The sequence below is a fragment of the Homo sapiens genome, chromosome 18, assembly GCF_000001405.40.
Source record: "Homo sapiens chromosome 18, GRCh38.p14 Primary Assembly".
In the NCBI taxonomy this organism is placed as follows: domain Eukaryota; kingdom Metazoa; phylum Chordata; class Mammalia; order Primates; family Hominidae; genus Homo; species Homo sapiens.
The window spans coordinates 74,904,206-74,927,605 of NC_000018.10; the positions used below are offsets into that span (position 1 = coordinate 74,904,206).

General features: G+C 38.1%; 1 protein-coding gene and 1 long non-coding RNA gene across 5 annotated transcripts in view, besides 2 other annotated features; one reads left to right on the forward strand and one right to left on the reverse strand.

The window, feature by feature from the left end:
- ZNF407 (zinc finger protein 407) overlaps positions 1 to 23,400 on the forward strand; it is a 467,802-nt gene that overhangs the window by 306,336 nt on the left and 138,066 nt on the right. For 2 of the 4 annotated variants that reach the window (NM_017757.3, NM_001384475.1), the window contains exon 8: positions 16,309 to 16,487. In NM_017757.3, the coding sequence (NP_060227.2) occupies positions 16,309 to 16,487 (179 nt within the window). Of the gene's footprint in view, positions 1 to 16,308; positions 16,854 to 23,400 lie in introns of those variants that run through there. The other 2 variants (XM_017025838.3, NM_001146189.1) reach the window with 2 other exon arrangements.
- LOC124904323 (uncharacterized) overlaps positions 1,585 to 23,400 on the reverse strand; it is a 30,823-nt gene continuing 9,007 nt past the window's right edge. The window contains exons 2-3 of the long non-coding RNA XR_007066414.1: positions 5,181 to 5,232; positions 1,585 to 1,992 (exon numbers count right to left, since the gene is read on the reverse strand). This is a non-coding gene — a long non-coding RNA (uncharacterized LOC124904323). The remainder of the gene's footprint in view (positions 1,993 to 5,180; positions 5,233 to 23,400) is intronic.
- Positions 16,643 to 17,242: an enhancer, noted in NCBI's record as "OCT4-NANOG-H3K27ac hESC enhancer chr18:72632804-72633403 (GRCh37/hg19 assembly coordinates)". NCBI's record gives its function as "activates a minimal SCP1, AML or CMV promoter by ChIP-STARR-seq in primed H9 embryonic stem cells {active_cell/tissue: H9 hESC(primed)}" and the evidence as "EXISTENCE:reporter gene assay evidence [ECO:0000049][PMID:30033119]".
- Positions 17,243 to 17,841: an enhancer, noted in NCBI's record as "OCT4-NANOG-H3K27ac hESC enhancer chr18:72633404-72634002 (GRCh37/hg19 assembly coordinates)". NCBI's record gives its function as "activates a minimal SCP1, AML or CMV promoter by ChIP-STARR-seq in naive and primed H9 embryonic stem cells {active_cell/tissue: H9 hESC(naive and primed)}" and the evidence as "EXISTENCE:reporter gene assay evidence [ECO:0000049][PMID:30033119]".

Here is a 23,400-nt window from a genome sequence, read left to right on the forward strand (position 1 = left end):
TTGAGTAAACTTACTAAGTTTTATTTTACTTCTATGAGCATTTAGCGTGGTGAGGATATCAGAGGAAAATCTTCCAGTTGCTCTGTGTTTCTCACGCACTTTCTCTTCTCCTTCTTTATACCAGCAATGTATCAGTATATGATGATATGAAACAGTTAAGGAAATGTATTATTTTTTCTCTTTGGGGCTAAAGAAAAAGAATCAGGGAGAAATCCAGGTTCTCCAGGGCTTGCCCTTGCTGGAAGCCCTGCCCTCCTTCCTGTGATGTGGGTGACAGTCCAGCTTAGCCTTGTGTTTGAATCACTGCACAAACTCAAAGTCAGTGGGACTCTTCCTGAAATGCTAAATTCTGAAGAACTCATTTGGGTTTCTGAATGAAAAAGTTCAGTGTCACTTCCTACCATTTCTTCCTTGTGATGTTCATTATTTTTCTATGGAGTGGAGGGTAGAAAGGAAGATGTTAAAGTCGGTGCCGCTTCTTATTGGTTGTAGATAGTATGATTGGAGATTTAAGTGGACAGGAATGTGGGAAACATGAAAGGTGAACAAAGCATGGGGAGTTATTCACAGTCCTGAAACAGAAGGAGCAAGTGTAACTCTGGGTGAAAATCTCATATGATAAATATATCTGAAGCAGTGGCATATCAATATGTAAGTTTACTGTTAACATAATTTGAAATCAGTGGAAGTTAGAAAAGCATTTGGAATAATGTGGAAAGCAAGACAATTTCAGGCCATTAGCAGTTGAAGAGTCACTGAAGGGCAGACGCAGCAGTCCTCTAAGTGGACACGGTGGGTTTTCAACCTTTTCTAAATGTTCACGTTTTCTTTTATGCAGTACAGCACAGCTTTTTGTTACTGCTCTTAACATACACAACTCTTTTGTCTTGTAAAATCATATCCTCGTTGAGGGCATGACCACAGTGATTTGTTTTTAGGCTTGTTTTTATGTAGTACCTACTAAATATGTTTAAAAAATTCATTTTGAAAGTAAAAAGTCAACACATAGGAAGGTAGACTTCTCTTGTAACCTATATACTTTCCATATAAACCGAAGCAGTAATCAGGTTTAAATTATTTGTCTTCTGAAGTGCCTATGATTGGGTCTGAAAGGCTGGCCTTGCTCCCAGACGTTTAGAAAAGCAGCTAGATGTGCACAGGTTTCCTGCGGGTGACAGAGAGGCCAGCGCAGCGCCTGCTGTTCAGGAGCGTCTCAGAGGCACACGAGAGCCGGTTGGCTGCTCGCGCAGAGAGCGCATGTGGACACCTGGACAGCCGCGTGACTTGGAAGCATGGGAGTTTATCCTCTCAAGGGTGGTGGATGAGACCAAGAATGCGTCAGTGTTCATCCACTTCTGTGCTAACTTACAAGTTTCTTTCTCTTATGAGGCACTGTGCTGTTTTAGAATCACTTTTTATCGCATAATAAACATGAACAGAAATATAACTGAGAAATGGAGAGAAAAATTCAATGTGCATCAATTTGTCCTAAGAACTAGTTTCAAAGAATTTAGATTTATGAAAAGCAAAAAGTAATGAGTAAATGATCTAATGGAAATTATCCCATTCAATAAATAGCTACCAGTTATAATAAAGGAAAATAAAATTCATAAGATTTAGAGCAAGGTGATCCAGAAACTCTCCAACTAAAATTTCCTCTTGCTGAAAATGTCCAAAGGATTGTATTTTGTGATTACCTCAGATTGCTGTAAACTCTTTTTATCTGAATAAAAAAAGAGACTTTGGGTAATTCTGTATGTAGTGTAATAGTGTAATATGGTGCCATTATTTTTAAATATCTAGTTTACTTAAATTCTCCTGACATTTACCAGTTTTGTACGTTATTATTACTATTTGGAGTCAGAGTCTTGCCACCATACCTGCATTCCCAGCACTTCTCTCTTCCCGTTTTCCTGCAGTACCCCTTGTAGGCATTCCTGGTTTTTGTCCTGGAGGTGTCCTGAAGACAGCTTCTTGGTGTATAGGCTGCATCTGGTGTTTGTAAAGAATAAAGAAGTTAGCTCCATTCTCCACCACACCCTCTCCTCTCTTCCCTGTTTTGATTATAGTATTCCTTCTGGTTTCCTAGAGATTACAGCTTGAGTTTCCTCATTTAAACCTTTTGCTAAATTCATCAGATTGACTCCTCCCTGTGTAAACACGAGGATCCAGGCACGTAAGCACATCCACCTCTGCCCCAACTGTCAGCTGTGCTGCTCTGCTGTGGTTTGTCAGGTTTACATTCCTGGCAATGCTGTACAATCTGGGTGTTTTTCAAATAGATGTTTGGTCATATTTGCTTTATATGTAGAACACTTAAAGATATTTTTATGAATAGCCAAAATGATCCAAATACACTGAGCAAAACAAAAGTTTCCTTGGACTTGGAAATCCTTCAATAAAAATATCATCAGTAGTTTACTAGGCTTCCTTTGAATACACATTTAATACATTTACATCTCTATATGTATAAATGTATGTATTTTCCATGTATACATTTTATCTGTATATGTATGTGCATATATTTCATATATCTGTGGGTGTATATATGTGCACAGATACTCTGTGTATATATTTTATATGTGTATATATTTTATATGTGCTTGTATGTCTGTATGTGCATGCACACACTGTGTATATGTGAGTATTTTATGTGTGTATGTGTATATGTGCACACATACTGTATGTGTATACGTATATATTTTATAAGTGCCATAGATGTATATGTGTGTGCACACACACTGTATGTGTATATGCATATGTGTGCACACATACTTTATGTGTATATGTATAAATCTTATGTATACATATATGTGTATATGCACACACATACCGTATGTGTATATTTTTGAAAAGCTGAAAGGACCCATACCTACATGTATCTGGGACTTGATTTTTTTAACTTAATAATGTATCCTATTAGTCTTTCCATGTTCATAAGAGCTACCTTATTCTATTTAATGGCTTTTATACAACAAGTAAGGTTGAATGCCCAGATAGTACACACACCAAGCTTTCTTCCACAGGGTTTACTGAGAGAAACTCACAGAGGGAGTGCAGCAGCTGTCGCTCCTCTCCTCAGTTTATCTCAATAACCTGCCGCATTCTGGAGCAACACGCAAGGATTTTGTGGTGCTGGACATCAGACTCTGGGGAAGTGTCTGGCTCTTACGCTGTGGGACTTTTAAGCTTCACAACTGGAGAAGATCCAGCTCCTCCATGCCTCTGAGGGTGTGTTGGCAGGTGAGGTTGAGTGGTCCTGTGACCTGGCCTACCAGATCTCTGGCCTTGTTCTAACATCAGTAACCGTACATGGTCGGGGAAATGGCTTCTCTTTCCCCTGATCAGGCTGTGCTCTCCCACCATTCAGCCGGGATGTGGTTGATTTCCATGGAACTCTGTAGGAGAAGCTAACTCTTAGCTCTCAATGGTATAGAATTCCCTAGTATGGATGCACTGTACATTTACAACCCGTTTCTCTCTTCATGGACATTTAGTTTTCAAATTTTGCCTAGTGTTTAGCTGTTCTAAAATTGATTTAATGACTTGTGGATCATCTAGAAATTGAGCTTCTGAACTTTCAAGGGTGTGTGTATATTTTAAACTTGAAGGATACTATCAAATGTTTTTCAAAAGCTTTTGCTAACTTACACCATTACCAGAGGTATATCATTTTCCCTTACCATTACTTAATATGATCAAACTTATTAAATTTTGCCAATCTGTCACCTTAAGTTTTAATTCGCATTTACTTAGTTTTTAGAGACCTTGATCACTGTGTAATGATTACATAACTATCTGTATTTCTCCAATTATGAATTGCTTATTCATATTTTTTAGTTTCTGAGATTTTTATCTTTTAAAAAAATTAATCAATGGAACCCATTTTGGAATCCGTATTAATCACCAGTTTTTGTATATGTTGCATAGTTTTACTCCTTTTCTTTGCCCTACCTTTTAACTTTATTTATGATGCATTATGCTATATAGCAGTATTAACTTTCATGAGGCATATTTTCCTACACATTTTGGTAGCATTTGGACGTTGCTTTTTCTTTATGGGAACTCTTTCTAACTAAGATTATAAAAATATTTTTTCTATCATTTTTGTAATTTGGTTTCCTTATGTTAAAATTTTTTAATCCAAATGGTATTTATTTTTGTATGGTGTAGGACAATAAGTCACTTATTTTTTCCTATAAAATAAGCAGTTGAATGGACACCATTTATTATATAGCCCATCATTTCCTAATTGATGAAATGACATCTGTGTTTCTTATATACATGGATCTTTGTGCTGTCTGTTCTGTTCTAGTGGTGCATGTGGTCCAGCACTCCAAATGACATGCATCTATTTGCTAAACATCGTTGATAACATGTTCCCTTTTAGGCAGAGGAATTTGAGGTTCTTTATTCTTGTAGCTTTTAACCGATTTTAAATTTAAACAGCACAAATGTTCAGTAATCTAAAATTATCAGACTCTTTCCTTATGGGTCCTTTAGTGAGAACATAAGTTATAAAGGAGTATATATCTTAAGCTGTCTTACATAAATTGTGAAACAAGCTCCGAGTTTATATATTGGAGCACATTCTTCCAACCTACAGTGAGCTTTAAAGCAACATATATGGAGGCTTATATTCCCCTCTACTTTGAACATTTTTTGTCTTTTTTTTAGGATTTATTTTTGCCCAGAAAATTTATAAATCATAATTAATCCTGGTAAATAAATGTAATTAACTTCTTGAGTTTAATTTACATAAAGATTTTCTTCGGATTATTCTATATGCATTTTGGAATCATATTACAAAGATACAGTAGAAACCCCCTTTCAACCAAAGTTTTATATAAACGTATAATATTGTATAGAGTAATTCTTTTTGTGGATGTGAGTTTTTAAAGTATACTATAAACAGGCCAAAAAAAAAAGAAATTGCATACCTGCCTAATTAACTTTGCACACATGATACACACCTCACATGTGCTCATACATATACTGTAACTGTTTGGGAATCTATTTTTAGTCAGATGAATTGCTGTTGCTTTTCATGTATAATAGGAAAAGCGCCGATAATGACTCACATAGTTGAACTCATTTGTGTTTAATATAAAAACTAGTGGTAGGAAGAAAAAAAGAACAAGTACCTACCGTATTACCTGAACATACTTAATGTTATTTACCTTAATCCTCATGATGGCATTCTGAGGTACATGTTGTTCTACCATAGAGCAACTGAAAAAGAAAATGTTCTGTAGTCAAAAAATTTGAGAAGCAAAATGTTAAGCAAAACTAAGCGTATTTCTTTAAATAGAACTTTCAAAATTTTTATTTCAATTTAGATTGTGGTTTTTTTTGTAATTTTCATTTTCTGCTTAAGTACACATTGTGAGTTTCTAAGAGGAAAATGCAGTCTGCTGTATTGCCCCTACTTTCCTGAACACGGATCTCCTCACACTTGTACTTACGGTTTTTCTTAACATCTTTTAGCATCTTCAGAAATAATATTTTTTGGAGAAGGGTTTTATAAACCTTTATACAAATTTCATGGATTTTCTGTTCATTTTTGTTGTATTTATGATCTTTTGACTTGCAGTATTTTATAGTATTCGTGTAGTCAAGTCTATCTATGTTTGACTTTATGATTTCAGCTTTTATTATACTTAGTAGTGTATGTTTGAATAAATGGCAGAGTTTTTCCTTTCTAAAAAAGTATTTCCAGAAGAGGAATTTATGTATTTCTCTTGTTGTAAATAAACTAGAAAAATTGGAGTAAAAAGCAGTAGAGTGATTGGTTATAATGTGGAGTTCATGACTTACTCTTGGAGAACAAATGGAAACAACTGCCGTAGTGTTACATGATTGGGCACATGTAGCTGGAGACAGAATCTCTAGTGACAACATCATTTTTGGAGTCAAAATATGCTGTATCTCAAACTGAAGGAGGGACTGACAATATTGTACTCTAGAAAACTGTTAGGAGATCACAGAAATGACTGTAGTGATAGACACTTACGCATATGAAGAGTTTGAATAGTTTATAAACATGAGTTGTAAAAGCAGTAGTTCCAAAGTAATACGTTATTTTAAAATAATAGGTTAACTTAAATATGTATATATTCAAATCAACAAAACATATATACTATATATGTGGTTGCTTGCTTATATTTTATAGATTCAGGTGGACTCTCCCTCCAGCTCCCCACCCCACCCTCATTTTTTGACCCTTTTAGAAAAATTAAGGTTAATTTTATATTGAAAGTCATATTTTTAGGTTCATACTCTATTTAAGTATATATGACTTAACATTCACTTAAGTCTTTTTTTAGTTTCATAATTCTTTTTAAAGCAGTTATGTGTAATCTATCCAGAATTTATTGTGAAGCCTCTTTAACTTATCACGGAAGAATTTAACCCGCTATGTAGTGCCTTGCATTACCTAAACCATATTTTAGCCCACGAAATTAATCGCCACTTTCATTCTTAATACCACCCTCAGTTTCCCACATTTTTAATGATTAGAGTTTCATTAAGTATAATAATTTTCAAAAATGCAGTGCTTCACTTGCATTTGTCTTTCTTGTCTTTGGCTGTCTGTTTAGTCTCTTTTTCCCCCACTTTTAAATTAAACTTAATGAACGGGTGGGCTTTCCTGTGACACAGCCGCAACACTGCAGGTGTTCTCTGACTCCTTCCCGTATCCCTTTCCCACCTCCCGTCCCCCTGGGCAGAATCCCTGTTACCTAGTGTGATCCTCATAGACCTGGTGCTGTCCATACTCCTGTGTAGAATTGTAATATGTGTGTGTTACATGTATGTATAATTACTTTACACACACATCTATATATAAGTGACTTTCGTGGTGTGTATTATGAATGTGTATATGTACACATACCTCTAATTGTTTTTAGTACATACTGTTTTACATGTAGCTTTTCTCAATCTGCGGCAGACATCTTTCTCTGCCAATATGTCATATGTATGTTTCTATATGTGCATTTGTAAAGATAAGTACATTTAGAAAGTTACTGCTGCATCACATTCTGTGATATAGCCCATTCCCTCCCTATAGATGATTGTTAACAACTCTTACTGTAATAATGTTAACATGTTGCCTACTTATTTTATAGAGCCATTTAACCATCACTCTCAAAGAGTTCTCAAAAAAATCTTGTTAGAATTGTAATTGTGTTAACTGTATAGATTCCTTTAGCAGCAATTGATATATTTAACATTAAGCCAACCCATACAGATATGTGGTGTAAGTCTCTGTTTAGCAAACTCTCCCTTATTTTTTATTGATTTTTATACATGTGTCATAATTCAACTGTTTTGTGTTGTTGTTTTTTTAAAAGAAGTGTTTTTTGTATATTACATAAGGGGGTTTGAGTGCACACATCCACAAAAGAAACAATTGGCCACCGCACTCAATTCAATTTTCGGTTCTTTTAGCCTCCCCCTTCAGCTAAACTACTACTATTATTTTCAATGAATCTTTGTAAGATTTACTAAGTCATTTCTGAAGCCATCCATGGCACACACAAAAATACGCATTCTAAAATAGTGAGCGATCACTCCATGCTGTCAAGTGGTTCCCCCAAAATCACCTAGGAAATAGGAATTCTTTCTTTTTGGAGCAGCATGGAAAACATAGAGTAGTGAAGTGGGGAGATAAGCAAAATGGAAAGTGGGTTGCGGGAATGAGAATGCTCTTTGGGCGGTGGGTTGTAGGAGCTTTCTGTTGTCTAGAGTCTCTTTCCCATGCCTGACATCATAACAGACCTGATTGTTGCCAGTATTTCAAGACAGCCACTAATTTTACAAAAAAGCAAATTGGGGTAGTGAGGCCGATGCATGGATCTTCCTGGGGAAAATGGGAATCAGTGTTTGTTTAGAATCTCTGTGTGCTGGGCACTCTCCTGGGTACTTATCCTATAACATCTGTGCCAAGCTCTCTGCTGTTTGGTTTATCAGTTAGATAATATTATTAACACATATTAATAAATACATAGAAATTACCTGGGTATGTCATAGTGATATTAATTTATTATTGGCCCGGTTCTCTCTAGTACTGTAGTTAACTCTAGATTTTTGCCATACCAGCTGACAACCACTGTCCCGTGAGTGATTTTGTGTTGGTTCTGGGTGGGCAGTTGTGATCTGGGAGAAAAAGAGCCATGCAGAATGATGAGGTCTACCAGGCAGAAACGTCCTGCTACCTGGTTCATTGTGATGGAGTGGCAGGTGAATACACAGACAAGTATAATAGAATAGAAAGTCCAGAATTCACCTTACATAATTAAAATACTGACAAAGGTGGCATCTCAAGTCAGTGGGGAAAATCTGACTTTAACAAATGTTATTGAGAGAGCTGAGTAGCAGTCTGGATCCACATTTAACTTACTGTAGGTTGATTTTGAATCAAATCTAGTATTTAATGTGATATAACGCAACTCTACAGGTACTAGAACCAAATTTGGAACAGTTGTTTTATAGTCTCCAAATAAGGAAGCCATAGAACAACAGAGCAAAATTATCAACATTTGCTTTCACAACCTACCATAAGCAAAGTCAAAAGAAAAAAAATGAAACTGAAGAAAACAAGTCTGCAACTTCTGTCCTAAAGAGCCAGTCTCCTTAATTTATAAGAGAATGACCAACAATCATTTAGAAAAAAAGAGCAAAAATCTGAATGAGCAGTACATAACAAAGAAAATATACATTGCTTTTCAGTATTTGGAAAGATAACCTCTTTGATTACAAGAGAAATGCAAGTTACACCTTAAAAATTAAAACTCCAATGAGATACCATTGTTTACCCACCACATGGGCAACAATTCAAAAATTTGGTAGCCCCCTACCTTGACAAGCGTGTACAGAAACAGGCTCAGGCTCTGAAACATTGTTAGTGGAATTGTAAATTGCTACAATTCCTCTGAAGGGCAGTATGGCAGAATTTATCAGAATTCATGCCCATTGACATTTGAAGCAATTCCAGTTGTCATGATGCGATTGTCATGGCACCTGGAGAAATGGAAAGCATTCTACAGGATTATTCACTGGAACCTTGTTTATACTAGCAAATGATTGGAAACATCCTAAATGCCCATCAGTGAAGAATCAGTTAGATAGAATAGGTTGTGTCCACACTGAAATACTATGAAGCTGTTAAAAAGGAGAAAAGAAGGTAAGGGTGGGAGTAGAGACATGTAGGGGAGATAAGCGTGCCCTTCGGTGTTCGATACGGCGAGGCCCCATGCTGTGCTGTTCCATGGAAAAGCGAGATGCCAGTGTGTGTGGTGCCCCTGCATTTAGCCAAGGGGAGTGGTGAGAAAAGAATATAAGACATATCTGTAGCTTGAAAAAGTAGTGTTTACTTCTCCCGAAAGATTGAGAAGAAGTTAGGGATTGTACCTAGCTGGTCATCTGGGACACAGGGTACAGTGGAGACAGTGCTGGAGGGAGACTTCTGTCATATCCATTATTGGATGCTCTGATGTTTAACAACTTCGGTGGTATAATTTTAACAACCAAAATAAACATCAAATTTTTTACAACTCCTTTCTCCTTAGGTTCAATAACATAAACAGGCTTTTTGTGTCCATAGGTCATAAGTGAGTGTGTAGTACTGACTAATGATTTTGTGGAGTTCTAGAAGTACTTGTGGTGTTCTGTTTATTATTTTAACATACATCGCCTTTGAACAGAATAAGAAATTTCTTTTATTATGTGTTTTTTAAGAAGCCCTATAAGGCATGGGTCCCATCTTGGGCCCTTTTGCTAATCAGTCACCCCGTGCTTTAAATTCTGTACGTCAAAGCTGCTCAAGACTTTCAACATGTTATATTCCAAAATTTGATTTGAAGTGCACTCTTAGAATGCCTTTTCCATGAAAGCGATGCGTGCTGTTTCTATTCTGCTGAGCCCTGCAGGAATCCTGGTGAGGAGTGTGAAGCTTGGCGCTGGGGAATCTCACTTCCCTTCCAGCAGGCTTCCTGCTCGTCGTGAGGAACGTCTTTCACCTGTGAGGGCCAGGAGAGGTTCTTCCTCAGCGGAAAGCCTGGTGACACGTTCTGTCACGTGGAGCTGTAGCAGTAGAGCGGAGTTGAGAAAGGACAGGGCAGAGCTTAGTATTTTGCTGAGAGCTGCGGATTCGGTAGCTTTTCTCTGTGTTGACGCTGACTTTGCGCTGTGTGCCGGAGCCATGCAGTGTGTGTTGCTCACCTTTCCCCTCCGTCACTTCCTACCTACCTTTAGAACTGGGAGCCACAACCTGGAGCCCAGGAATAGCTTTTACCAACTCTCTGACTTCCCAGGTGAAGATTTTGTGTTTATGTGCGCTTACCTTCTCTAAAGAAAAAGATAATGCATAGATTACATTCAGTCCTTTGGTAGTTTGCTGTACTAACCTCATTTTTTAGTTAAGGAAAAGAGATCTCAGAGTTGAGGTACTTTCCTGAGATCACAGAAACATTCTGCAGGTGCTGAAATCCTCATGTGGGGAATGGACCCGGCTGCCTGAGTTGACACCCAGGGGTGTTTCCTCTGCACCATGGTCGTCTGCTGCCAGGAATAAGAGGAAGAGGGTGGGGATAGGACTGATCCTAGTGTTGGTTAGGAAACTGGATTGAAGGTGACAGTTCTTAGTGAATCCCCAGGGAAACTGCTCAGTCATTGCATGTTTCACTTTCTCCTTCATTCAGAGATGTGCACCAGTGTCTCTTTCTTCCTAGTTCATTACAGATGGAAAAACTGTGACATGAGTTCTTCCTAGCATTCTTCTTGTTAAAGTATACATGTAACCCTTTGCATTTTTCTGAGAAATTGGACTTCTCATAAATTTTCTTAAAAGAAAAATTTATTAACTCTTTCATAGGGAAACACCAAGATACATATAGATGGTGACAGATATAAGCTTCTTGGCTTGTAATAGGAGGTCCCAGGTGGCAGAAGAGGGAAATTCAGAGATAAAATAAGGTCTAGGGATATTTCCAGAGGAGCAGTGCGAGGCCAGGAGGAGTCACACCAGCTCAGGAATGGGCCTAGTATCCTTAGTTTACGTCTTTTTCACCCAAGGTATCTGCTGTGCAGTGATTAGTAAAGAGTGTTCGAATCGGGAGTGTGTGTGTGTGTGTGTGTGTGTGTGTGTGCATGTGTGTGCTGGTATGGTGAGGTTGTATGCAGCATTGGTTCGAATCAGGAGTGTGTGTGTGTGTGTGTGTGCATGTGTGTACTGGTATGGTGAGGTTGTGTGCAGCATTGGTTCGAATCGGGAGTGTGTGTGTGTGTGTGTGTTCATGCATGTGTGTGCTGGTATGGTGAGGTTGTGTGCAGCATTGGTTCGAATCGGGAGTGTGTGTGTGTGCATGCATGTGTGTGCTGGTATGGTGAGGTTGTGTGCAGCATTGGTTCGAATCGGGAGTGTGTGTGTGTGTGCGTGCATGTGTGTGCTGGTATGGTGAGGTTGTATGCAGCATTGGTTCGAATCGGGAGTGTGTGTGTGTGTGTGTGTGTGTGTGCTGGTATGGTGAGGTTGTATGCAGCATTGGTTCGAATCGGGAGTGTGTGTGTGTATGTGTGTGTGTACATGTGTGTGCTGGTATGGTGAAGTTGTGTGAAGCATTGGTTCGAATCGGGAGTGTGTGGGTGTGTGCATGTGTGTGCTGGTATGGTGAGGTTGTGTGCAGCATTGGTTCGAATCGGGAGTGTGTGTGTGTGTGCGTGCATGTGTGTGCTGGTATGGTGAGGTTGTGTGCAGTATTGGTTCGAATCGGGAGTGTGTGTGTGTGTGTGTGCATGTGTGTGCTGGTATGGAGAGGTTGTGTGCAGCATTGGTTCGAATTGGGAGTGTGTGTGTGTGTGCGTGCATGTGTGTGCTGGTATGGTGAGGTTGTGTGCAGCATTGGTTCGAATCGGGAGTGTGTGTGTGTGTGTGTGTGCATGCATGTGTGTGCTGGTATGGTGAGGTTGTATGCAGCATTGGTTCGAATCGGGAGTGTGTGTGTGTATGTGTGTGTGTACATGTGTGTGCTGGTATGGTGAAGTTGTGTGAAGCATTGGTTCGAATCGGGAGTGTGTGTGTGTGTGCATGTGTGTGCTGGTATGGTGAGGTTGTGTGCAGCATTGGTTCGAATCGGGAGTGTGTGTGTGTGTGCGTGCATGTGTGTGCTGGTATGGTGAGGTTGTGTGCAGTATTGGTTCGAATCGGGAGTGTGTGTGTGTGTGTGCATGTGTGTGCTGGTATGGTGAGGTTGTGTGCAGCATTGGTTCGAATTGGGAGTGTGTGTGTGTGTGCGTGCATGTGTGTGCTGGTATGGTGAGGTTGTGTGCAGCATTGGTTCGAATCGGGAGTGTGTGTGTGTGTGTGTGTGCATGCATGTGTGTGCTGGTATGGTGAGGTTGTATGCAGCATTGGTTCGAATCGGGAGTGTGTGTGTGTGTGTGTGTGTGCATGTGTGTGCTGGTATGGTGAGGTTGTATGCAGCATTCGTTCGAATCGGGAGTGTGTGTGTGTATGTGTGTGTGTGCATGTGTGTGCTGGTATGGTGAGATTGTATGCAGCATTGGTTCGAATCGGGAGTGTGTGTGTGTGTGTGTGTGTGCATGTGTGTGCTGGTATGGTGAGGTTGTATGCAGCATTGGTTTGAGGAAGGAGATTAGCAGCATGTGATAATTAGCAGTAGCTGCACATCAGGCAAAACTCTGAAATTTGAATGACTTAAAAATTTATTGCTTACTGAGGTAAAGGCCCATGGAGGCTGAGAACCTCTTCTTCTTCTTGGTAACTTTACCACCTGCACATGTGGCCTCTGAGGTTCCAGTGGCAGGAAGAAGGGTGACAACGGCACGAGAGTTCTTTTTTGTTTGTTTTTGTTTTAGTGGAGAGATAGATCATATATTTGACAAGTAACCCATTGAAATTGCAACCTTCCTGGGTTTTTAATATATTACCAGAATTGTGAAACCATTACTACAAGCAGTCTTAGATTTTTATTACCCAAAGAGACTCCATACACATTAACACTCACTCTCATTTCCCCAAACGCTTCCCAGTTCCTTCTTGTCTGCATGTGTTTATGCTTCTGGTATGTATATGTTTAAAACATAAAATTACAAATATACATACACATATGTATAATATAATAGAACATAAAAACACGGTGTGTATATATACATCCTGTATACAAACATATGCACATATCTGTATAAGAATATATGTGTGGAATAGTCCTTAATGCCTTTTAAAATCTCAAGTTCCACACCACGTCTTTCTTGATTTATTTTATATTTTCAAATAAAAGAAGCTTCCTACCTTTTTAAATTCTCTCCCCTCCCTTTGTCCCCATATACGTCTTACCTATTTCAGTAATAGTCCCCGGTTGTTAGATCCTACATGCTGTTTAGTTACTGAGAGATACTGGCTTATTTTTGTCCTAGATACAGCCTTCTTGAAAACAAAATAATCTGTTTTCCAAGTTATCTCTTTCTTCCCTTCCCTGAATGTTAGGATTCATTGCTTATATTATTCTCCATTTAAATATGCATCATACATTGAAATGTATTTATTTTGGCAATTTTAATTTCTTCATATGATTGGTGATTGTCTTTGATGATGTTTCATGCCTAGCATTTTACATAAGGAAATAATATTGGTGGTACCAAAGAATCTCCATTCCTGATAAACAGTACTAATTAAGTACAGTAGTAGCTTTTTGTTTTCTCTCCCCAGTGTCAGTAAACAATGGTGAATTTAGGAGGTGTCTGTAATGCTGTAGAAAACATGTTGGAGATCTGCAGAATTAAGGGGGTAATTTGGAACGGTTTACCCAGCTTGAAGAATTCAAAAAAAAATTGTTCCTTTTCCTTTTAACTGTCATAAAAGTGGACATTTGTGTCAGTCACCTTCAGATGTTTTCCTGTGTTATTTCAGACATGACCCAGAGCTGTTACTCTAAGGATAATTACACATTTAAGAGACTCTACAGTCCTATCCTTTGCTTAGAATGTGCTAGTGTCTCTGATACGTAAATTTTAAAGGGAAAGCTGGCTGTGGTGTACTTGAAAACATACCAACATTCTGGCCTTGAAAACAGAAAACCTAGGTTAGGATTCTGCCTTAACCACTCACCAGCCATACAGCCTGTGTAGCCAGCTCATCATTGTGATATTTACCTTCTTCTCTGTGAATTGTGTAGCAGTCTTGACCTCAGAGGGTCATGCTTGCCTTCGAAGTCGCCAAGTCAGTGGAGGTACCTGGCATACATTAGGTGCTTACTCTTTTATTTCCTCTTACAGTGATTGTTAGTTCACAATAGGGAATTTATATATAAAGCAAGTTTGACAATTCGGTAGTGACTCATGAGAGAAAGAAGCTTGTGTGCATACATTCACTGTCTTGCATGTATTTAGTCTAAGATCTCAGGGAAATGTAACACCCAGATTGACAGAGCCTTTGCCCAAAGCAAGTTGAAAATAGCTGGGAAAATATCTGTTGTTCTAGTCCTTTTTTATTTTTTAAAAAGGTGTTATTGTTATTTTAATTTTTAAAATATATATATTTAACATATAAAACTTTATATTTGAAAAATAAGAGTAAGTGGGCATTGCAGTATAGCTGCATTAATATTTTAATGTATTTCTTTCTAGTCTTTTTCCTAGGCATAGAGGGATTTGATTTGTTCAGTTTAATTATACTGAGCAGATTTAGTTGTACATGTGCATTTGATGACAAGCCCTGCCTGGAGATGGGAGGGAAGTAGCAGGAACTTTTCCAAAGGACTGTCTGGATGCAGGTACGAGAACTCTTCCAGAATATGAGATCCCCACTCATGAGGAACACGTTTGCGTTTCAGCTTTGACCAGAGTCTGTAGGAAAGGACATCCCTGCACCCTCTGTCTGGGGAATACCTTTCCTAGTGCCATTTACATTAATTCTGCCTCGCTTGGACGATACTTCCTATACTCCTCTCGTCAGGAGTGGATAGATACCGTATTCACTGAGTCTTTGAATTTCTAGCGTCATTGACTGCCTTTGTGTGTGAGAGATAACAGTTATTTTCACTTCCTTGACCAATATTTCCCAAGGTATATTCCCTAAAAAATACACATGGTATAATTGAATATTATACTCAAAAGCAATTCTAATTAGAAACGTTCAGGCACTGTAGACCTACATAAAGTTCTTCTTAGAGCCTTCAAGATTCTGCAGTGCACTGTGAGATGTGTTGGCTGACTACCGTTTCCTGATCTTTTTTGTTCATGGGAATCTTTCTTCTAAGAACATCTTGCAGGATTTTTGTTATTCCACAATACCTTTGGGAAATGGTGATAAACATATTGCTCTATTTTCTTCTGGCATTTAATTTTGGTCTGTAGGAAGTCTGAGGCCAGCATGGTTTGTTTGTTTCTTTCTAGATAACCCCTCAACACCTACTTGAAATTGTATAGGGCTCTTTTTATTACTGTTCTAAAAATGACAAAGACAAAAGGAAAACAGCTCCGCGTGTGTATTCAGAAAGAGTCTAGACTTGCAGTCTGTGTTGCAAAGGATCTGACAGGGATGAAAGAGCAAGCAGAACAGTTTGCCTCAAAAACAGCACCCCATTCCCAGCTTGCTGATTATTTCAGGGCTTGCATTTCTAATTCTGCGGGAAAGCACTGGGAGAGGAGCCCACCCCTGATTTCAGTGGCACCGTGGCGTGGAATATATGGGCCCTCCGTTGCATTTTCCATGCCATCACTCTTATCACTCTTAAAAGCCTGTATCATCACAGAAAACGCCACGGGATTCACATGTTGCCCAAATACTGGAGTTGAGCCTGGGAGCCGTTTCTAGCTACAATTCCATCTTCACATTATTTTAGAGCCCACTTAGAAGCACCTTGCGTGACAGAACTTAAAAGCCAAAGTGTCTTTGTTCCCCAGATGCTCTAAATTCAGTGGAGGCGACAGCACTTTCATTTTTGTACCACTCCTCAGTGGTAATAGGTGTGTTCTCAGGGATCAGCTAACACCTTCACTGCCCTCGAGTGGTACCAGAATAATTTGATATTAAAATAATAGTGCTTGGGATTTGGTATTTCTGGTTCTTCATAGAAATGAAGCTAAAAGACCAACTTAAAAATTCATACCAGGGTTATAAAAACTACCAGCCTCATAAGGCTGATGTATTATATAAGCTAATTATTATATGAGTACAGCACTTAAAATAGTACCAAACACATACAGACAGTGTTATGTAATATCATTATTTGTAAGATAAGGTTATTGGTTTGACCTTAATTAGATTTACTTTTCTGTCTTACTTGGTAGGTCAAACTGTGCTGAAAATATCCGCAAACACATTCTGCATACTGGCAAACATGAAGGAGTCAAGATGTACAACTGTCCCAAGTGTGACTACGGGACCAACGTCCCGGTGGAGTTCCGGAACCATTTGAAGGAACAGCATCCTGACATCGAAAACCCGGACCTCGCTTACCTGCATGCTGGTAAGGGACAGAAACTGTGAAAACTTGTTTCTAACAGGATTTCATGTGATCACAGCAGTTATAATGCTATTTGTACATTACCATGATTTATTGTAATGGAGTAGAGTATGTGATAGTATCTGCTTCAAGACCTATAGAAAAGTACATTCCAGTTTGATCCCACTCAACTATGAAAACAGGACTTTTCAACTGTATTTTATCAAAAAAGGAAATCTGACAGAGTAATTATTTGATGACTGTAAAGTTAATAATAGTAAATATTTAAAGCATAGTTGACCTGAAATGAGAGTAGTTGTTAAATCTTCATATGTTGACTAATTGCTAAAATTTTAATTTTTTTTCTTAAAAAATGCTTGTGATTTGAAATGTTATGCCCTGTTTATTGACACCATCATCTTCTAGTGAATGCCTAGAAAGAATGTGACCTGCGACCACGACCACGGAGTCAAGCGTAGTGGGTGGTAACGGTGCTGTGCGTTTCCCAGAAATTGGGAGGGGGCTGGCCCTAGGTTGGGGAAGAGCTGGTGATGGGAGCGGCTGCTAAGAGGATTCTTGCCTCTTGGGTGGCAAGTGAGGGGCTCTGGAAGGTGTCAGCGATGTGGCTGCAACTGCAGAGTAAAGCAGATCCGTTCCTCCAGCCCGACATTTTGTTTAATTAGCAAGTATTCCTTGAGTGCCAAATTCTGTGCAGAGCAGCAGAATGATAGATTATGGGTGCGAGGACCTCTTTGAGGAGTAAATTTAGAGAAGCCTTCCAAGATTTAGCCCAAGCAGCAGAGTTTGAATAAGGCCTGTTGATCAAGGATGTGCTTTAAGCAGATGTTTTGGGACCTGTTAGAGTTGCTTTTAAACCCTGCTTCTCATTATTGGCCATATGACCTCAGGCAGGCTGACCTCACCAAGCCTGAGGTTTCCCATACGTAAATCTGCATGATAGTACCTACTAATAGGGTCATTGTGAGAATTTAAAAAGATAATGGCTGTGAAGCCAGGAGAGTCTAGGAGTTTGAATGAACTCTCCCCAGTACCTGCTATGCTGCTGTAGGCATGAACATTTATGCCTATCTGTGCCATATGATGGGGTCGTTAGTAGTGGTGGGGATGTGGGGATTGTGATATATATCACACCAGAAATGCGAGGTTCCAGCTTCAAAATGCTTAAGCAATGTTTGTTCGCAAAATATCTATGTTATAAGAAATTGAACTTGAGTAATTTAAGTTAGACTAGTTTTCTTAATACACTTGACAATACGTGGATAGAGGCTCATTACTGTTCTTTCATATTTCTCGATTGATGTTCATATGATTGACTTATTTAAGTAATGTCGAGTGTGTGATTTAGTAATTTTTCTGCTATCCAGGGCTGTATTTGGCAAACAAACAAAAACAGAGGTCTCTGCTCATTCCCTTTTGGTGAGGTTGTCACTGAAAAGGTTTTGAAACTAGACAGTTTATCAGCTTTAGTTCATAAAAACAGATAAAGTCGAGTTGAAATATCTCTGGCCATAAGTGCCTATGGGTTCTTCATAAATATGGACCCATAACCTTACAGATACCAGAAACACCACCTGTGAAGGAGCTGCTCCTAGCAATGGCCAGGCCACAGGGACCAAATCCATGGTGGGCATCAGCAAAGTGTCCTCCTCGAGGTGGCCTTGCTCTGCCTCCTTTCCAGGTGCAAGATTGACATATCTGTCTCTCTCTTCCATTACCAGTTACACATGAAAAACGGATTGTTCCCTAAAGTACAGTGAGTAAATAAGAGAAAAATAAAAACATTACTTATCTTTAAAAAAAAGAAGACTGTAAATACTGTGATTTGGTTGAGATAATATAAAGTTCAGTTGAGATAATATTTGGGAATTCATATATTAAAGTGAGGTATTTTATTTTTTATTTGAAAACAGTTCTGCAGAAAGGGGTTTGTGTGCAAATGTGCTATACCCTTGGTATCTCTACATTGGTGTATAACTGCAGTTACGTGATGTAATTCACGCAAGTAACACAAAACTGGAGTTCAGTGGAGACCCTGATTCAAGTCTCTATGTAAAGACAGGCGTCTCGGAGCTTCAGATTCCTTATCGAAGAGTCTAGGAGTTTGAATGAACTATCCCTAGTCCCTGCTGTGCAGCTGTAGGCATGACCTTCGGGGAAGATGGGCTCCAACTTAAGCTTGATCATTCTCTTGATGTCTGGCCCTGAAAACTGCATTTTTACTCTGTGGGTCTCAGTTTTCCTCTGAAGATGGGGATAGTGATGCCTACCACACAGAATGTGTGTGCCATCTAAATGGGATCATTTATACTGTATGTAAACTGTTTGACATGATCATTTTTAGCATAAATGGTTGCACAGTTTGTTTTTCCCTCTCTAGCAGAAGTTGATGATTTATTGTATTTTTTTCAGTCCTTTTTAGCAACCAGTAAAACGATTTTTGTATCTTTTTCTATTTCATATTCCAGAGCATGAAAGACTATATGTGAGTTCTAATTTTAGTTGTTGTCAGATAAGAAACACAAGACAAAAGTGGTTTCTTTATTTTTTTTAACCATGGATTATTATTTGTAAACGTAATATTCCATTTCCAGGTAGTTTGAGACTTTCTGGTTATCTTTTTTTTTTTTTTAAACTATTGAACTAATAATGCAAATCCACTACCAGCTTAAATTTACTGTTTTTACAGAATATAATATGAATTATTTTAATTCTTTAAAATTTGTGTAGACTTTTTTATGCCCAGCAAATGGTGAGTTTCGGTAAATTTTTGAGACACATTAGGAAAGAATACTTGGCACCAGTGGTGTTTGTTCCCTGTCTGTCGGTTACAATGTTTAGTTTGTTCACTGTGTTGTTCAGATTGTCGTATTCTTAGTGCTTTTTAAAATGCCGGTTCTGTCAGCTGTTAAGAGGAGTATGTTAAAGTTTCCTACTATAATTGTGGATTTATCTTTTAAAATTCTGTTATTTTTGGCTTTACGTATTTTGAAAATATATCACTAAATACTCAGAACTTAGGGTTGTTTTAGATACAGACATACACATAATTATGAAATATTTCTTAGTAGCAATATCTCTTGCCATAATTCTGCATTTCATATTGGTATACCTTTCCCAGATTGCTTATAAGCAGCTTATAGTTGCATTTTGTTTATCTGCTGGGGCAGTTTTTATCTTTTACATTAAATATTTAGTCTTTTACTTTAGTATTTGTACTTAATGTAATTATTGGTATATTCATCATAGTCAAAACTCCAAACTACCCTAATGTCCCTCAAGCAGAATGTACAAAAGTTGTATATTCACATAATGGAATAAGTCAGTGAGAATGAATGAACTACAAGTACAAGCAGCAGTGTGAAGTAAGTCTCACAGTCTTATCACTGGATGAACCAAGCCAGTCACCAAGGAGTACGTTTTATATGATTGTGTTTATATTAAATATAAAAACAGATAAAACAACTCTATGATCTTAGAAGTCAGAGTTTATTTGCCCTTGTAGGCACCAGTCACTGAATGAAGTACAGTGGTCTAGTAAGATTCTGCTTCTTAATCCCAATACTGAGACACAGTTGTGTTCAGTTTGAGAAATTCATCAAAGTCTCTTCTATGAGTTGTATTCTTTTCTGTATATACTTAAAAAAAAAAACACCTTTCTCCACATCCAAGTTTCTGAAGAGCTTCATTTAGGCCCAATCTAGGTCTAATATGATGAGATTTTACAGTCACATTAATCTTCACAAAATTGACATCAAATTAAAGATAGGTTTCTGTCATTGTACAATTTTTCTTCTATTTAGTAAAATCTATTTCATCTCAAAAATTATCTTGATTTGATCTCTTCAGTTTTAACAATTATATTTCTACCATGTTGCCCATCCATAAATAAGCTTGGTACTCATTCACTACATTTGGACAAAGAATTAAATACATGTCTGTGTTTGCAACACCAGTGGCCTGCAGTCTGACCCCATGTGTAGTTCACTTCAGCAGGGATAGCTCAGAATGCTTTAAATATAACCCCAGAGAAAGGGGAGTGAAGATCTGGAAGCCAGACGGGGAGGGCTGAGGAGAGGCTGCTCAGCCTTCTCTGATTGTGCCTAAGAAGAAAGAGATGTTTTTTTCTCATCATTTCCAAGCAGCAGACTTATAGTTATGCCTTACGGCTCAAGGAGCTTGTTTATTATTGAAATAGCTCTTATTGCTCATGAACGAATGCTCACTGGAAGACCCACGGGTAGTGTGGTCACTTTCTGAGCCTATGAGCAGTGCATCAAAGCTATGAAGTTGATTTAGTTATTTCTTATTTCTCTCTGAGACCTTAAATGTGGTAAGTGTTGTTGTCTTTTCCAAAGGTAATGATTACAAGGTGTTCTCTTTTCAGGGAAAATTGAGCAGTATGTAATGATATGGTATTTTTCTTAATTTCCTTTATTTTTCTACCCTCATACTTTTGTATCACATTTAAATTAATTTTATTTTCATCAGTTTTTACATATGCTAAGACTTGGTCATATACGTATGTACATTAGATTATTACCTGTGCAGAGTGATAACACTTGAAATTATCATATTCTCTTCAAAAATTGGGGTTCTTGTATTCTTCTCTAAGATAAGCAGTTTGGTGTTCTCTATAACGTGTATTATTTAACTGTATTCCCTACATTTGCCTCTTCCCATTTATAAGAATAAGAATTTGAAAGTTTGACTCTTATCAAAACCCCAAGTCCCTTTTTCTGCCTCATTAACGTAAAACAGCTAAAGTCTTTTGTCTTAACCATTACCCCTTATTTAGCAATATATTCAAATTTCCTACATAAAAAAATTTCCTTTGTCATTAATTAGAACCATTAGTGTTCAATACATAGAACCTTGTAGAATAGAATGCAGTCTTCTCCCAAATTCCTCTTGGCCCTCTATTTTTAACCCGGTTGCTTTCACCCCCTTTTGTTAGTTGGATGCCCTGACACATGTCATGACATTTTGTACAACAATTCATTTTCTGAAAAGGTCCAAAAATCTCAGAAAATCCTGACAGCTTCTCATTGGTTCTCCTTACATAAACCAATTATTACTTCAACCTAAAAAGGAACGAAATTTTTCCTGACATGATTGCCTTTGGTAAATCCATGCTGACTCACTCCTATTAAATTGTACTTCTCCAAATGTATCATTAAGCTCATCCATAAGTATCATCTCAAATTTATTTCCTAATATAGATGTTAGATTTACAGGTCTATAATTTTCAGCCTCTCCTCTCTTTCGTGTTAACCTTCAGACTAGATTCCTTGTTTTCCAGTGTCCTGATACTTCACCACTAACAAAAGACTTCCTAAAATAATTAACACTTCAGCAATTTGATTCTTTAACCTCAGACATCATCCTTGGGTTAATTTACTATTTTTCTTAAGTGCTGCTAAATGTCTTTGTTTCTTTCATACTCCTGTCCAAATACTCCGGAGCTGTCTGCCATAGCAGTACCCTCAATGTCCATCATGGCTCAACACATTTGGTATTTTGATAGCTGATGTTTTTCTTCATTCCCTTTCTCGCTCTCATTCCTGTTGGAATTCCTAAGTTTAGAAAGAACTCTCTTACATACTTCATAATCTATGAGTGAGTAATGTCAGAACAGTATTTTTCATCATCCTGTTGTTTGCAGTAATGTAATTGGTATCCAGGAAAATTGTATTTGTGGATATTTATCAGTAAACATACTGTTTACTGAGAAGCAGATCTTTGACCTGACCTCCACCTCTTTTTTCTTGAATAATATACTGAAAGAGGGTTTTTTTCAAAACTTTCTAATGACACATTTTAAAATAGTTTTACAACCAGGCGTGGTGGCTCACGCCTGTAATCCCAGCACGTTGGCTGGCCAAGGCAAGCAATCACCTGACGTCAGGACTTCGAGACCAGCCTGGCCAATGTAGTGAAATCCTGTCTCTACTAAAAATACAAAAATTAGCTGGGCATGGTGGTGGGTGCCTGTAATCCCAGCTACTTGGGAGGCTGAGACAGGAGAATTGGTTAAACTGGGAGGTGGAGGTTGCAGTGAGCTGAGATTGCACCATTGCACTCCTGCCTGGGCGACAAGAGTGAAACTCTGTCTCAAGGTAAATAAATAAATACAAATAAAATAGTTTTACATTTAATCTTTTTAAGAATAACTATATGCCAGTATTCTTCAGTACGCATATCTTCCTTTATCTGCCTAACACCGTGGAGCAGTGTCAGAGAAGCATTTGCTCCTTCCTGCCATCCTCCTGCAAGAGGGTGATCCTAATTGTTCTAGAGTGACCCAAATGGTTGTTATGTATGGTTTCCTTATGTTTTCATTAGCTAGTAAGTAGTAATGAAGAACTCTGTTTTTCATGCTATCACATTTTACCTTTTCAATTACAAAGAATCGTAAATAGTATCTGTGCCAAACTTTTCTCTACACCATTGAATCTTCAAAACAAATCTTGTTGATACATGTTATTCTCAATTTAATGGTTTTGAAAAATCTGTCTTCAAGAGGTTATGTTGCTTGAGGATGCATAACTACAGTGTGGCTCTATAAAATTCTCACCTGTCTTCAGAGTCTTACAGTTACATCACCCTGCTGTACAGGAGCTTTAAAATAATTGATTGGCAGGTTAATGAAGTTTTTTCAGTGGAAGCCTTAAAAATTTAGAGCTTTAAGAGTTCAAATAATCTAAACATATATTAGGAAGTAGAATGATATAGTATAATAATGTAAAAACACCATGGTAAATGTTTTCACAGTTGTACCTCTCCTGCCTAGTACAGAGCCTGTGGCACAGACGGATGGATGGAGTCAAATGAACTAGGTTTCAGGATGAACTTTTTCACCATGGAGATGTGTAACTTTGAGCCAGTCACTCAAGCATTTTGTGTCTGTTTTCTCAAC